Below are 17808 nucleotides of genomic sequence, written 5' to 3' on the forward strand. Positions count from 1 at the left end.
TTTTTTACACCCCATTTCTTAAAAACCCTATTGCCCTTGTTCCTGCAAAGCTGAGTTCAGACTCAGTTCTGGTGTCTCTCCCCTGCTGCAATGTCCTCGAATAAAGTCTTCTTTGCCTGTTTAATTTTGTCCAGTGAAATTTTTGCTTTGACATTGGGCTCATCAGACACCCTGTTTCCCCTAGGAATTTGGATTCTGAACAGAGTGATATAAGGACAGAATTCATGTAGGACTGAGATATTCCAATGGTAACCACTTGAAAACACAAACTTTTTGTTCTTTCTCCTTAAATGTCTGGACTTGCCCTCATTTGCTCTCCTTTTCAATCAAGTGAATTGCCCTATATCCTTCCAATGAATTATTTTCTTGCTTAGACTACCCAGTAATTATTTAGGAACCAGTCTCACTGATGAAATAAGTTATTCAGATTGTAGTTATCCTCATAAAATCCCTATTAGGTAATGAGCATGAGTCCAATATTAAAAATGAAGAAATCTGAGGATCTCAGAAGTGCATTATTTTTCTAAATTCACCAGTTAGTCAGCAGAATTCTATAAATATACACTCTTTCCAGAAATGACACTTGAATTAAAGATAACAGATATGTACCACATCGGGTTGCAAAGAGCAAATTCATCTCAAGGGCAGTGATTGCTTTGTTTTGTTTAATAAATATCTCTCTTACCTTCTTTTTATATTCCCTCATAGTGATTTTTATAAAAGGCTCATATCTCTCAGGACACCTCTTAGTCTCTTAATGGATCAAATTTTCTTTCTCTAAAAGTTCTGATATAAGTAGAAATGCTTGAATGAGACAGAGAAGAAAGAGAATCTACCTCCGATTATTCATGCATTAGCGTATATCAATTTTTGATTTATTTAGTAGAGGAAGGAATTATGACTCAAGTTCCATACTTATTTCTGGTGCCTACAAGTTCATCTCCTTCCAAACTCAACTTCCTCACCTTTATTAACTTCTAATCAATAATCTTCAGTGTCTATTTTTCCCTGGACTTTCTTACCTTGTTTCAAGTTTCTTTAAAACACACATCTATATTCCATGTTACACAGTGCTCTTTATAACTTTAACATAGCCTCTACTCTGTCAGCGAGCTCTTTTTTCCTTCCTGCCGCTTGTCTTCTCCTATATTCCATGTTCAGTCTCTCATCCATTACTTTTCATTTTTGCTAATGTTTTTCCTTTTGTTTGAAAGTCTCTTTCAATACACTCTATGTTGCATTAAAGGTTTCAGCAATTACACTATTCTTTATAGATCTATCACCTTCTTGAACTTTAATGGTAATCTTGGTCAGCACAATTTATCCATCAATTTTTTTCTAACTGTTGCAAGTTCACTAACCTTGTCTCTTCAAGGACTGTGCCACAATGCAGTATCTTCATGGTGAACTGATGAAGAAAAAGACAGATAATAGGCCCATACTCAGTGATCATGTTTGAGACAGGACTAGGCAATGAGCTATAAAGAAGGTGATAAGTGGGTGAATTTCACTCCTTTCACCTGAGAAGAATAAAGGATATCTAAGCGTTCTATAACCTACAATATGCATTTCAGAAGGATTTTTTTTTCAAATATTAATAGGATGACACACTAAACAAGATAATTCTTCATGTGTCAGACTCCCAAATTCTCCAATACTTAGAGCATCTTTTTGACAATCCTGACTAGTAGTAATTATTAACTTAGTTTTGCCATCCAGGCAACTCAAGGGGATTAAGTAACTTGCCCAAGATCAAACAGCTAATGTAGAGTTGGGATTTACATGCAAGTATGTTACTTAATAACTCCATACTGTTATCTCTCTGTGGTAGGCAGAATATCAGCCTTCCAATGATGTCCATGTCCTAATTCCCAGAACTTGTGAATATGCTACATTACATGACAAAGGGAAATTAAGACAGCAGATAAAATTAAGTTTGTTAATTAGCTTATCTTAAACTAGAAAGATTACTCTGAATTATCCAGGCAGGTCCATTATAATCACAAGGTTCCTTAATTGCAGATGTAGACAGAAGGGTCAGTGTCAGAGTGGCACCATATGAGAAAGACTTGACTGGTCATTGTTGGCTTTGAGGAGGAAAGGAGGCCATGGGACAAGGAATAGGAACTTGAAACTGACAGAAGCTAGCAGAGGGATTCTCCCTACAGTGTCCAGAAAACAACACAGCCATAACACATCTTGATTTTAGCCCAGTGAGACCCATTTAGGACTTCTGCTATCCAAAACTATAAAACAATAAATTGATGTTATTTCAAATCACTTTTAAATCTGTGGTAACTTGTTAAAGGAACAATAAGAAATTGATATACAACTAAGATGTAAAATATTCCAGTGTATTAAGAGTTGTTAAATAATCATGGAGACACATGATCCTGATCCCAAAAGATTCTGGCAGGTACCGTTTAACCAAGGGGAGGATAGATTCAGGATGTTATTGTCTCTATTGAAAATCAGTTCACCTTATTTTAGAGAATAGTTCAAGTTTTCAAGAATATTGGAAGGTGTAGGCAAAGTAAAATACTGTCCTGAGGTAATGAGGACAATTGAAATATCTACTACAGACTCATACCAATAAACTTGCTCTTTTTCAACAATATGAGTCCCTAAATTTACTAGTCCCTACTAATTATAGACTGAATTGTCTTTTAATGCCATACATATTGTCCTACAGAGAGCTTGTAAAGTCACCAATTTATATCTAATATGATGGGAGAAGGTATATACACGTACATGAACAGATTCTCTGAGTTGCACAGTAATTGCATAGACCAAGGTATGTGTCTCATGCAAGTAAAAATAGGCACACTTTGTATCAGCTTTAAAGGTCTCTCAGAATATCTCAAGTTGTAACAGTTATATAGTGACCCTAAGTCAATTTATTCATTGAATATTCATTATGTTCCAGTTGCTCTTGTAGGTGCTTGGGATACATCAGGAATATACTATATTTCTTAGAAAATTTGTATTTCCTGAGAATTTAAAAAATGATCATATATAAACCTGTTTAACTTCTATCCCACAGGGTATTTCAAGTCTCCATAGTCCTGTCCCTCCTAAATTCACTAGTTATGCTGAATGCCTAGCATAGTCATTATGAGAAAGGTTTGTAGAGTTTGACAAATTTGGGTACTGAATACCTTCACTTACTAGCTAGAACATTGGTCCAGGTGCTAAAATAAGCTTCATTGTTCTTCTCTGTAAAATGGAAATAACAATCTTTATTCAATAGATTAACTAGAAGTTCTAAGTGCACTTAATATATTATGTACATAGCATGAGACACTGTGCTTAGTACATATCAAGTATTCAGTGATGATCATTATTGTTATGATGTCTATTTTGTTCTGTTATTTGCCTATTACTATAGGCTCTAGAAACAAAAAAAACAGATAAGTTCTTATTAAAATAGAGCAGATTATATAAATTTAAATTCTGTCATGATGTTATCTTGCTGATTTGTAGCTAACTTGTACCTACATTATAAAATTCCAATTGATTTTGAGTGAGCCTTACTGGATTATTTTCCCCCTAAATCTTAGCAGCCTGGTCATCCCATTCACTGAGGAGAATGTCCCTGCAAACAAGGTGAGAGGGAAGGGTAAAGCTCTTTAGAGATGACCTGCAGGAGAGATGATTTCCACCTATTCCAGAAAATCATCAGAGTAATACCTAAGCTAGCCTTAGGTCAAGACCAGGCATTCACAAATCTAGGTAGACATCTCCAGTTTTGCAGCAAACTAGGTAGTATAGAACAAAATGTGGGCAGCCAGCTGTTTTATATAGCAAAAAAAAAAAAAAAAAAAACCTGCACACATTTTAGGGAGATTATTCTGGGATCATCTTCCCAGATAACTGAAAAGAGAAAATTTAAGTATCTAAGATTTAAATGTCACTAATTAATTAATGTGGTTAACAAAATTAAGGAGATAATTAATGCAATTAAGTTGCTGATACCCAAATCAACAATTCAACCTACCATCTATCTATCTACTTACTTATCTTTTTAAATGATTTCCGCTTATTGGCTTCAGAAGAATAGTTTTATAATATTGAAATAATGAAATTTTGTTTCCCTGTGCATATTTTTTATGAGTAAGTAATTGTTAGAAATGTTTTATTTTCATTGGCAGGTCTAAGAAGACTTTTTTTTTAACATTTAAAAAATTAGCCACAGGATTAAAAAACATATATATCATCCTTTGGCTAGGATAACAGCTCCTAATTGAGACCCAATAAATAGCCTCTAATGTTTATTTAATCAATAAAGAATTAAATTGGTATCTGAAGGTCAACAAACACAGCCAGAATCCATGAGTGTGTGGCTCTGCGTTGGAACAAGCCATTTATCCTTGACACACACACTTCCCAACTGAAAGCAGGCACTTTGCATATAAGCCACACGCTGTGTTGATCTGAGAAACTCTGAGCTGGAATCCCAGTTGACAAAGCACACCTGCAGTGGCTCAGCTTTTCAACATGTCTTCTTTAGACACTAAACAGATAGGAAAATGGGTGAGGTGGGTTGCAGCCCCATGAGCATTCCTCCACCTTAACAGCATGCAAATGATTTAACACAAATCCGTCCTGCATTTTGGCATAAATCATTTCCATCTCCCACATAACCACTATCAAGCTAAAAATGTGTTTGGCCATTTGGGGCATATATTGAAGGCACTGATATTTTCAAACTAAGGTTCTTAAGTAAAATGTGTAAGATTGACAAAAGACTGTTTTCATTCAAAATGAAAATGAAAGTCATCATTCTTTTCCTTTTTTTTCTTTTGTCCTTCTGTAAATATAGGAGACTTTATGTTTGTAAAGTCTAACAGAACTTTCTGCAATGATGGCAATGTTCTTTGTCTAAGGTTTTCATTACAGTGGCCACTGGCCATGTGTGACTAACAAAAATGAGGTTAGTATGACTAAAGAAATAAATTTAAATTTTAAGTAACTTAAATGTAAATAGCTATTTATGTATACTGGCAACTACCTTAAGTAGCAGGGCTCTAGCTATTTAAGACAGCATTTTACATTTCTTTGAAATTTGGGGTTAATAAAAATTAACCAAATAACCTTATTTCTGGCAAAATAAGATCAAGATCAATTCAAGAAAATAGAAGGACAAACATCATCACTTTAGCTATAGTTTTTAGTGCAAAGTTTAGATCCTTCTTAAGTACAAACGATTTATTGGACAATTATAAATATTTTGTGCTGTCAATGGACTATTTCGATTAACCAGAAGTTATTGTATAGCATCAATTTCCAGTTTCTAAATGCTGCCACCCATTTAAATAGAGTTCTCACAAAAATACTCTTTAAAAGTAAAACTAGCAAGAATCAAAATATTATGGATTTATTTATCTGTCTCAAATCAAGACAATAAAGAAGTTTCTTGTTATTTGATTAAAAAATAACACCCCATCAAAGCAATGCTAATAAAGTTTCTTTTCTTTATTCTTCTCAAAATAACACCCCAAACAACAAGAAGAAAAAGAAGACACTCCAACTCCACCATCAATGAAAAAGAGGCCCTTGGTAATCTTTATCTTTGGAATATAAAGATGGAAAGGGGTATTGGAAAGGGAGATGACAAAAGACCAAACAGAGAGGATGCAAGTCAATCCAATATTCCTGAGAGAGGCTGAGAAGAGGGAGAAGGGGCTGGGCCAAAGAGAAGTTTGCTTATTTACCCCTAAAACATTCTAGAAGGTCTCAAGAATTAGATGGCACAGATATTACTGAAATCAGGAGGAAAGCTTGAGATGGTGAAACAGAGGGAATATCTAACAGTGTTATAAGTTAGACCACTATGCCATGCATTCAGAGACTTTTCACTCCCTCTCTCCTACCAACACCCCCACCCAAAAAAAACCAAGAAGATTATGTGCTAGAGCAATGTTGCTCAAACTGTGGTCCCCAGGCCACAGATCAGGAAACTTGTTAGGAGTGCATTCTCTGGCCTCACCCCAGACCTACTAAATCAGAAGTTTGGGAGTTGAGGTCTAATCAACTGTGTCTTGGCTAATCTTCCGAAAGATTCTGATCATGTTAAGGCTTGAAAACCACTGCTCAAGGGAAATTGAACCAGCAAGGCCCTGGCCTCATTAGTCTAGGCACAGGTTATTTAAATTCAATACTGAAAACAAGGGAATTAAGTACTTACTGAAAGGCCCCAACTCCAAAAAAGCAGCAGCTATTCATGCTCTTCAGATAGAAGGTTGTAGGATCTTTTCTGATGAAACTACCCTGGAGAAAAACAATCAATAAAATCAATAAAAAACCCACTGGCTACCTAACTGCCCTATAAGCCCACAGTGCTTCCAATTCGTTTTTAAGTGCCCAATTTTAGACATGAATGGATAGTCAAGGGTGACGAGATATTTGAGGAAAGTATCACAAATACCAAAACAAATAAATAGAAAAACCAGGCACTCAAAAGAAACAGATGATGTAGGGAACCAAAGAAAACTTCAAAAATTATAGAATTAATGATCTCCAATAGAGAAAAAAAAAATGCTGCATCAAGGAAACAAGAATATTATGGCATCCAAAAAGAAACTATTGTAGAAAAAGAAGAAATACTTGAAACTTGAAAGTGTGATAGCTGAAATTAGTAATTCAATAGAACTGGTTGAATGCTAAATCAAGAATTCTCTCAGAAGTAGAACAATAAACAGAAGGTGGATGATAAAAAAAAGAAAATAATTAAATTAGAAGCTCCTGTCCAGGAGATGCAACACCCAATAAATAGGATCTCACACAAAAGATAAAATGGTGGTGATAAGAAACAGGGAATTTTCAAAGCAATAATATAAAAAAATTTTTTGATGCTGAAGGGCATAACCCTTCTACTGAACATCCAGACTAATAAGTGAGAAAAACAACGGCAAATCATTGTAAAGTCTTAAAGTATCAGAAATGGTAAAAATATATATCCTAAACATCCCTAGGGATTAAAAAAATTAGTCACAGATCCTAGGGAATCCAATTGATATCAGTATTCTCAAGGGCAATCTTGACAAATAGAATATGATAATGTATTAAAAACTTCCTAATGACATGAAATTCAACCTAAAATGCTCTAGTCATTCAGTCCATCAGGCAAGGGTAGAAAAATGACAATTTCAAATGCATAAAGGATCAAAAAAAATTCCTCCCGTGTAAACTTTTGTGAGCAGCTACTGTAGGATATATTCCACCAAAATGAGGGAGTTGTCCAAAAAAGAGAAGAACACGGGATCTAGGAAACAGTGACTCCCAACCCAGGGAGTAGATAAGTTGATTCCCAAGGTAATGTCAGCGGTGAGTCTGAGAGAGTGAGCTGTGCAGAAGATCTAAAATAGAACCATTTCATATTAGGAAGGAAGTTTCAAGGGGAGAAATAAGGAATAGATTGTGAAAGACAGATTCCCTGCAAGGTGGTGACAAGAGAAAAAGTTGTCATCCTACAGAATGGGAGCATTTAGACACCTAAACTCGCTCCGTGAAAATTTGGTATGGCTAAATACTATACTAGTAGACTGTAGGATGGCAGATGACAGCTGAAAGCAACTGCTTCACTGTGTCATATAGCTGCAACCACAAGGCTTGGACCATTGTACCTTAACATAGCAGGGGAGGGGCTGATGGTTCCCTAATCATGTTTCCTCTATAATTCAACTCAACTACAACTCACTGTAATTCAAAGGCCAGTTTCCCTCTCTGGAAGTCTGATATCTGGCCATAACACATCTTGGTGCACTGTTTCAGAAGGCCGTGGCCAACAGAGGAACCATAATTCACTTCTGCTTCTGCCTATAAGTTTTCTTCCAAAAAACACCATTCCAAACTTGAGACATATTCTTCCTTGTCATTCATCATTCATTGCTTGTTAAACACTACAGCAGCAAAAATCCTATCCCCCAGACACACACACGAGACACACAAACACATACAAAAAGAAAACTACTCAGCTGCAAACACAAGCCACTTTTTATAGAAAAGAATATATGACTAAAATAAACAGCCAAGATCCCAAAGGGTGTAGCCAATTTTCACAAACAAATTGTGAAAACCTGTATTGTGAAGCATCTAACAGATTTATTGGAGTATGTAGATTTTGTCGGATATTTTAAAAAAGTTAAGAAACTGAAAAAGGAGCAGTTTTATTAATTCCTTTCCAAATACAATGTGTACTTGTAGTACTCTACTTGGCTTGACATTGAATATTTGCCACGTTGTAATTGATGTATACATTGAATATGTATTAAAGCAAAATTGTTATATGATTTTATTGGGAGGATGAGACTGATTGGAAAAAAGTGATTAATGTAAGCAAATCATTGTAAAATCTTAGAGTATCAGAAATCCTCCATTAACACAAAGGTAAAATCCTCCATTAACCTAAAGATGAAGAAATTTATTAATAACTAAAATTCATGAGCCAAGAAATAGTAGTTCATGAATATTATTTAGAAATATGGTGGCCGATATCAGGAGAAATAACTCAAAGAGTTGAAAGAGATTGAACTGAGAAGTGAAATGACATGTGAAGGAGGGGGCAGTAAACATTAATCTGTATTAAAATCCTTTTGTCACTGACTTTTTAAAGATTTCATGTGTAGTACTTGATAAAAAATTAAAATAATTTAAAATATGGATACATAACATTTTCCAAATGCAAACAGACCTCATTCATTCGAAAAGTTGGTTGGTAAATATGTTGCTATAGAAACCTTGAAAACACCCAGACTATTTCATCATTGTAATATGGTGTATCAGTTTTCTATTGGGGCATAACCATCCCAGAATTTAGTGACTTAAAACAAAATCTTAAATGTATTTATTATTTATTTATTTATGTATTTACTTATCATGAACTTGCAAATTGGGCAGGGCTCAGTGAAATCTATTTGTTTTGGGTCCATTCAGTATTAACTGGGAAGCCCTGGGAGCTGGCGGAAGCACTTTCCTGTATGGATTACATGGGTTTCTGCATAGCATTGTGGCTGTGTCTGGAATGAGCATCCCAAGAAGCAGGACACTTTTATAACCTACCCTCAGAAATTGCATAGGGCAAATTTCTTTATACTTCATTGGTCAAGTCAATCATAAAGTCCTGTCCAAGCTCAAAGGGAGGGGCCATAGGCTCATCTTGGATAATTTGATGATGGAGTGCTGAAGTTCTAAAACACCACATGAAACAAGGGAGGTTGTGGCTACCTCTGGGAAATACAATATTCCACAGCCCTCTGTTTATCCACAATTTACAGCTTTCTCACACTCACCTATTTCTTTAAGAATCCCCCAAAGCCTCATTTTACTAGGGCTTTGGGTTCAGGCAAGAGGTCCAGGATGTCAGGAGTTAAATCAGATCCAGATGTGGATGAAGCTCCTCAGGTGCAGCCTTGGGTACAGTTTCTTAAGCATCATTATTCTCAATACAAAGACCTGCAAACTAAAGAGCCACTTTGTTGGCCCTTTCCACGCCCCATATATGATGGTGAGGCAGGCATAGGCTAACATCTATAGACACCCCCATTTGAACTGTGAAAACAAAAGGTGGATTGCAGATATGGGTTCATTGCAGTTCTGACATCCAGCCCCTTATGTGTTATCAGTTCCTTGATTAAAGCCCATTCCTACTCCTTGGGAGTTCATACCTCTTGGCTACACCCTCTGATATCTTGGCTGTTTATTTGAGTCATATATCTATAAAAAGTTGCCTGTATTTGCAGCTGAGTAGTTTCTTCTGCCTGTCCTCTGCATGTAAAAATTTCACTGCCAAAGACCTTTTCTCATTTTATATTGTTCAGTGGTTTTCAGAACAAGCTCATATAATTCTTTTAGAAATGTTGTGGGATGCTTATGTATCAATTTATGAACCTATTCCATTAGACTAAAGTCAGAGCCATAAATCCAAAAATATTGTTTAGTTAGCTCTTTCTCTACTCAGTGCTCTTGCCCTTGTGGGCAAACACCCTCAGATTCTTAGAAGCCCTCCTAGGTTACAGGGATGATTTGTAAAGCACACCCTTCAGGTCCCTAAGGAATCTGCTTTCTCTCTTAAAGGGTCTAGGAGGCAGGGTCTTAGATTTTTGTGAGGTCTTATCAAAGAATTGTACAGTCCTATCCTGGATTTGATATTGGACCTGAAGGTCCTTTTCAATTTAGAACTTGCTATACTCTGGTTTATCTTCAGATCATATAAATCTTTTGCCTTTTAATTTAGAACTTTCTGTCTGGAGAGGCCAAGAATGAGAAACAGTTTTATTATTAAACTCATCAAGTCCTGGATCCTTTCTATTTAACAGTGTATTCTTTAGCTCATTTCTCTCTCTTTTGCATTTTATCACAGGCAGTGAGATGAAGCCAGGTGATACTTACTATATTTTGTCTGGAAATCATTACATGATTGAGTTCATTTCCTGTTTTCCAAGTTTCCCCAGACTACAGAGCTGCCAAAGTTTGTGTCACTACACACTCCTTTTTTCTAACTTCTTTTAAGTTAGTCTCCTCATTGTCAGTCTCCTTGAGGCCAGTTAGGCTCCTGCTAACTCTCTACTCAAGGACCCCCTTCACTAACAATCTGTTGAAGGCTCTTGAAGCCCCTGCCTTTTACCTGGTCTTGAAGTTAATGCCATATGTTTTAGGTTTTGTTACAGCAACACCCCACTTCCAGGTACCAAAATCTTTATTAGTCATCTATTGCTACAATGACAAACCACTGCAAAGTGACTTAAAACAACAATAATTTTTTATTCTCCTCATGAATCTACAGTTTGGACAGGGTGCATCTCTGCTCTACATGGTTTCAGCTGGGAGGACTCAACTAGAGAATCCAATTATAAGATGACTCCCTTGCATGACTGGAAAGTTAGGGCTGGCTGTCAGCTAGCTGGCAGTTAAAACAGGGCAAGGGTCCAAGGACAGAAGTTCGTTTCCATGCAGGCATCTCCACAGGCTGAATGGGCTTACTCACAGCATAGTATCTGGCCAGGTTCTAAGAGCAGGAGTGTCAAAAGAGCAAAGTAGAACATTTTCGTAGAAAATCATAAACTGTCATTTAAGTTATACTTTGTTAGTCAAGGCCTGCACAGGTTGAAAGAAGGGACACAGGCTCTGCCTCTTGGTCGAGGAAGACAAGATTCTAAAAGAACGTATGTGGTGGGTGCCATGGTTGTCACTATTTTGGCTAACTAGGTTACATACTAACTTTCAGGAATGAAGATTTGGTAACAGAGATATGAGGAAAGCACATGAAATATATGAGTAATTTTTACTAAGACATTTTATTTTAGAGCCTCTCTAAAGGGAGAATGTAGGCAGGGCACGGTGGCTCATGCCTATAATCCCAACACTTTGGGAGGCCAAGGCGGGCAGATCACTTGAGGTCAGGAGTTCGAGACCAGCCTGGCCAACATGGTGAAAACCCATCTCTACTAAAAATACAAAAATTAGCTGGGCATGTTGGTGCACACCTGCAGCCCCAGCTACTCGGAAGGGTGAGGCAGGAGAATCACTTGAACCCGGGAGGCGGAGGTTGCAGTGAGCTGAGATTGCACCACTGCACACCAGCCTGGGTGACAAAGCAAGACTCTGTCTCAAAAATAAATAAATAAGAACAACAAATCATGCTACTATAAAGACACATGCACACGTATGTTTATTGCAGCACTATTCACAATACCAAAGACTTGGAACCAACCCAAATGTCCATCAATGATAGACTGGATTAAGAAAATGTGGCACATATATACCATGGAATACTATGCAGCCATAAAAAAGGATGAGTTCATGTCCTTTGCAGGGACATGGATGAAGCTGGAAACCATCATTCTCAGCAAACTTTCACAAGGACAGAAAACCAAACACCGCATGTCCTCACTTATAGGTGGGAATTGAACAATGAGATCACTTGGACATAGGGCGGGGAACATCACACACCAGGGCCTGCTGTGGGGTGGGGGACTGGCGGAGGGATAGCATTAGGAGAAATACCCAATGTAAATGATGAGTTGATAGGTGCAGCAAACCAACATGGCACATGTATACCTATGTATCAAACCTGCATATTGTGCACATGTACCCTAGAACTAAAAGTATAATAAAAAAAGTAAAAAAAAAAAAAAAAAGAAGAAGAAGAAGAACAAAGGGAGGATGTAGTATCTAGCTGACTCATATATTGATTGATACACTCTCAGATATGGCCTTTGATTGGTTTTAAAACATCCTTTAATGAAAGGCTGTTCCATAAAAAGGTAATAAGAACTAAGGTTTTGGCACTGTGCTCTTAGCAGAGTGCTGATGCAAAGTTAGCATTCAAAAACGCTAGACACTTTTGACATGCACACATACACACATGCACATACACACACTTTTGTTGCTGTGCCAACCTACCATTTGGTAATTATGCAGTCTATTAAACAATTTATCAAGCTCATCCTACGTACCAATATAATATAGTACAAAAATGAGTGAGATTTCCATTTTTTATTTCATCAACAGATAGAGAACACAACAGGTAAATAGATAATCGCCATGTATTTTTAAAAAGAACTTTAATTATACTGGCTGTTTAATCAAAATCACAAATTGGAATATATAGTCTAAAATAAGACTTTTTCCTAATTTTTAAATTTGTACAAAAACTTACAAAACAGCTAAATGTATGCAGCTGAATTTATTGAGTAGAACAAAATTACATGAAATTATCACTCTCCCAGTAAATATGGTTGCCATATTTCGCAAATAAAAATACAGAACACTCAGTTAAATTTGAATTTCAGATAAAATATGAATAATTTTTGGTATAAGTATCTCCCATGACATTTTTGGGACATACTTTTACTAAATTTATTCATGGCTTATCTGAAATTTAAATTCAGCAGAATGTCCTGCATTTTATTTGGCAACCCTACCAGTAAATTCAAGTTGTGTGGTCATGATTAAACCGAAATAGTAACAATGTACTGTGGGAGCTACAAAGGAAAAGAACCAAAGGTAGAGAGTTTTGCTCATTTGGTCCACTATAAAATGGGCTGCATGTAGAATAGTTAGGTTAACGTAGTCAAAGGAGAGTTGTCTAAATCAGAAAAATCATTCTTAAGGCTGAATTAGTTATAAAGCAACAAATATGCACAAAATCCTTCTTTACAGCTTTTTCTAATCCATGATTATCTTCCAAAGTCTGTACTTTCTTCTGTAGCTTCAAAAAGACCACTTGGATTATCAGACTCAATTTCTCCACATGAGAAATAAATGATCATTGTTATATTATTTCTTTTCCTAACTCATGAAGTGGGGTCAATACATTAAGTGACAAAGCTTTAAAAAAAAATTGGCAGTTTAAAAATGTGACTGAATGGACTTGAAATCAAACATAGTCAGATTCTCTTTCTTGTAATCAGAAATACTCCAGACTCAGGAAACTGTCTTATGTCTCTGCATAAATCGAAGCAGTGAAAAATTTCAGCAAATAGTAATTTTCCAGATTTGCAACATGACAGAAACATCAGGTGGCTGGCTAAACAATGCAAGGCACAGAAACTAAATAAAAACCTTCCTTAATGCCTGCTCTTCACAGAAATATGAGGGGCGGCTGCCTTATCACAATTTCTTTAAGCCTTCCCAGCTGGGAAAACTGGAAGTTTTACCATGGTCACTGACAATCTGATGACCACCGGAGATGCAGTAAACCATCCCCATACATGGAAAAAGAAAGCAGAATCTTCCTTTGGAGGTACTAATGGCAGTCATTAAACTTCAGGATTTTTTTAGTTCCTTTTGAATTAACAGTAACCTTTAATTTCTAAAACAAGCAATTCAAGAATGTGGTGGTCCTAAGTGACTGCATCTATGGAGAAGCCTTTACGAGGAGTAAAATAAAAATAAAAAACAAATAGTTACGGTCTTGTTCAGACTTTCATCCCTTGATCATGTGAAGCTCAACAGCCACTGCGCCCCAGTGCAAAAGCAGGTCTCTCCAATTGCCAGGACCCATTTAACTGAAAAGGAGTGGTGGGCTGCAAATAGTTCGATAGTTATTACAAAATAAGTACACATAAATTAGAGAGAGAAAGAGATAGAGAGACAAAGATGATAAATTATTGTCTTCTTTATCCTCAGATTTCTCCTCGATTTTAGATAACAAATGGGGAGAAAAACAGAAAGAGCCAAGAAAGATTAGGGTTTTTTTTTTTTGCTTTAGAAGTGCTGGAGTACCACTGGCTCTGAAAACACTAGATTGAAAAGGTTGAAAGGTGGGAGGAAAGGACCGAGAAACAGAGTGTGTAGAGATTTGGGGCAGTTTGCAAGGATAAAATGAGAAACTAGGGATAATTGGCAGGATACTTAGAATGAGCTTTCCATGGACATAGGGGAAGAGAATCTGTAAGATGTTTTGCTTGGTGTCATGAAACATACTTCTCATTTGCCATTTTTTAAGATAGGTTTATACTATTTACCAAAATAAATGAATAGGTAAAATTTCAAGGATGGCAGGGAAAAAGTAGCACAGATAGTAAAGTCAAATAAGGAGTGTCACAATATTAAAGTTATGGGAAATCAAGTCTCCTAAAAAATCTCTTGTAAATGTAAGATATATTGGGTCAGTCACAGTAAAATCTAGGTAGAAAAGAGTTCGTAAGGAATATACATACATTTAAATGTACTGATTTACCCATATTCCTTTGAACAAGCTAAAGTACTTGTTCATTTTCTCTCCTTCTTTTGGAGTAATTTTCTTAAGACACAAGTATTATCAGCCAACTTTCCAATTAAATATCTTCTGGATGCTCCCCATGGTTTATAAAATAAAGTCCAATTTTTTAGCATAGTATTCCAAGTCTCTCATAACCTGGTCCCAATTTCTCTTTTCAGGCTTTTTACCTATCGCATCCACTTGAGCTCATATTGGTAGACTTCTTTTCTGAATCTTTATCTGTGCTCATCATATTCTTCCTTCCTGCAATATCCTTCCCCAAAGGAATATGTTTAAATCTGTGCTGCACTACTTCCCAGCTAGGAGACATTACTTAATGTCTCAAGACATATTTTTGTAGGATAGAGCTAATAATAATCTCTATACCATAGATATTCCACAAATATTAAATATAATACTTACAAAGAAATTTACACAGTGTCTAGCATGTACCAGTCATTTAATAGCTGCTAGCAATATTATTTTCTCTTCTCTATTAAGATCACATGTGTATTTCATTCAGATTCATGAAATCTTCCTCTAATTGAAAGTATGCTTTTGATCCTCCATGCCACCATAGCACTTGGCATATTGCTTTTTATGCACTTTCCAGATTCAAGCTTGATTTGTTATGAGTTGGAGCATGTTTGTTTTTCCCAAGAAAATTGTATACTTGTTTGCTGTTGAGGCTGCATCATGTTCATCATAATGCCTTCACAACAGAACACTGTTCAATAAATACGTATATTGAGATTGGCACTGTGCTAGCCACTAGAGAAAAAGAGTCAATTATACCTCATCCTTGCCCTCAAGAAGCTTCTCATCTAATGAATAAATTCAGCCTTGTAGATCATCCTTAGTAAATGTTTGCTGAATTAAATTGAATGCTCTTTTGCAGTGCTTAATTTTTAAACAAGTGCTATAATACCAAAGCAGGAGTCTGCCTTTGTTTTCCCAAGAAGCAGAACCTGCAATGGAGATTTGTATGCAAATAATGTAAAATGGAAGTGTTCTCAGGAGAACCTGCAAGATAATGAAAAAATCTGGATAGACATGAGATTAAAGATAGGCAGAGGCCGGGCGCAGTGGCTCATGCCTGTAATCCCAGCACTTTGGGAGGCCAAGGCAGGTGGATCACGAGGTCAAGAGATTGAGACCATCAACATGGTGAAACCCCGTCTCTACTAAAAATAGAAAAATTAGCCAGGCACAGTGGCAGACGCTTGTAATCCCAGCTACTTGAGAGGCTGAGGCAGGAGAGTGGCTTGAACCCAGGGGGGCGGAGGTTGCAATGAGCCGAGATCGCACCACTGCACTCCAGCCTGGGTGACAGAGTGAGACTCCATCTCAAAAAAAAAAAAAAGATAGGCAGAGATGGTTACAGGAGAAGTCTAGCCTCATTCTGATCCCAGGGGGGGCTCTGGGGCAGGAATTCTACTACAAAAGTTACTGCACCCCCTGCAACCTCCCTTCTCCCCGCCATCTGACAAAATTGACTGTGGCAGAGTTGAGAGAGGCATTCTCAACTTTCCTGACATTTTCATGCTAGGCAGCTCCTGTCAACCAAGTGCATTCTTCAGAGAAGGATGCTGGAAGAAGCTGTGATCAGTTAGCAGCAGAAGCTGAAGCTTAAAGAAGCTAGGAAATAGTGCTTAAGTCCAGAGAAGTGCATCTGGTTGGGGGTACTGTTATGCACTGAATTGTGTCCCCTACAAGGTTCATATGTTGGAATTCTAATCTCCAATTCCTCAGAATGTGACTGTATTTGGAGATATGGTCTTCAAAGCAATAATCAAGGTAAAATAAGGTCATTAAGGTGGGCCTTGATTCATTATGATTGATGTCCTTACATGAAGGGAAATTAAGACATAGAAAAACACCTAGGAACAACCATGTGAAGATAGAGGGAGAAGGTGGCTACCTACAAGATTATATGGTTTGGCTGTGTCCCCACCCAAATCTTGTCTTGAATTGTAGCTCCCATAATTCCCTTGTGTTGTGGGAGAGACACAGTGGGAGATAATTGAATCATGGGGTAGTTTCTCCCATACTGTTCTCATGGTAGTAAGTCTCACAAGATCTGATGGTTTTGTTTTTGTTTTGAGATGGAGTCTCGCTCTGTTGCCCAGGCTGGAGTGCAGTGGAGCAATCTCGGCTCACTGCAACCTCCGCCTCCCGGGTTCAAGTGATTCTCCTGCCTCAACCTCCCAAGTACCTGGGATTATAGGCATGTGCCACCACAATGGCTAATTGTTGTATTTTTAGTAGAGATGGGGTTTCGCCATGTTGTCAGGCTGGTCTTGAACTCCCGACCTCAGGTGATCCGCCCACCTTGGCCTCCCAAAGTGCTGGGATTACAAACGTGAGCCACCGTGCACTGCCAACCTGATGGTTTTATAAGGGGTTTCCTCTTTCACTTGGTTTTCATTCTCTCTTGCCTGCTGCCATGTAAGATGTAGGCACATTCTTTCCTTACCTTCTGCCATGATTTTGAGGCCTCCTCAGCCACGTGGAACTGAGTCCATTAAACATCTTTTTCTTTAAAAATTACCCAGTCTCAGGTATGTCTTCATCAGCAGCGTGAAAACGAACTAATACACAAGCCAAGGAGAAAAGCCTCAGAAGAAACCAACCCTGTTGACACATTGATTTTGGATTTCTAGCCTGCAGAATGATGAGAAAACAAATTTCTGTTGCTTCCACCACATAGTCTGTAGCATTTGTTATGGCAATCCTAGCAAACAAATACAGGTACCAACAGCATCTGCTGCAGTCCCCAAAGAAAAAGCAAATCTAAAAAGTCATCAACAGAAGAAAGAGAAACGGAGGGAAAGATAAGACGCTGTGGGTATGAAGCGCCACATAATTGTTAAGAAAAAGGCTGCTTTTATCAATGATCTGGCCTGGTCTTTCGGAATAGAGATGTGTTTTGTCTCCCCTGCTCCCCACTATTTTCCCCAGTCGGAAGAGAATGGTTTCTGGGAAACAACAAGTGCTTTGAGAGTTCAGGTAGTTGAAAGTCATTTGAGTTCCAGATGGTTTGGAGGCAAAAGGTAACTTATGTGCTAATGGAGGAAAGGGAAAGCTGTTGAACAAGTGATAAT

General features: G+C 37.3%; 1 long non-coding RNA gene across 1 annotated transcript in view, besides 1 other annotated feature; it reads right to left on the bottom strand.

Moving 5' to 3' along the window:
• The window catches only part of LINC00536 (long intergenic non-protein coding RNA 536), a 374549-nt gene that overhangs the window by 173500 nt on the left and 183241 nt on the right, over positions 1–17808 (bottom strand). The window contains exons 5-6 of the long non-coding RNA NR_046215.1: positions 6188–6270; positions 1362–1408 (exon numbers count right to left, since the gene is read on the bottom strand). This is a non-coding gene — a long non-coding RNA (long intergenic non-protein coding RNA 536). The remainder of the gene's footprint in view (positions 1–1361; positions 1409–6187; positions 6271–17808) is intronic.
• Positions 4143–4769: an enhancer, noted in NCBI's record as "OCT4-NANOG hESC enhancer chr8:117140378-117141004 (GRCh37/hg19 assembly coordinates)". NCBI's record gives its function as "activates a minimal SCP1, AML or CMV promoter by ChIP-STARR-seq in naive and primed H9 embryonic stem cells {active_cell/tissue: H9 hESC(naive and primed)}" and the evidence as "EXISTENCE:reporter gene assay evidence [ECO:0000049][PMID:30033119]".

Source organism: Homo sapiens, chromosome 8 (assembly GCF_000001405.40).
Source record: "Homo sapiens chromosome 8, GRCh38.p14 Primary Assembly".
NCBI classification, from domain to species: domain Eukaryota; kingdom Metazoa; phylum Chordata; class Mammalia; order Primates; family Hominidae; genus Homo; species Homo sapiens.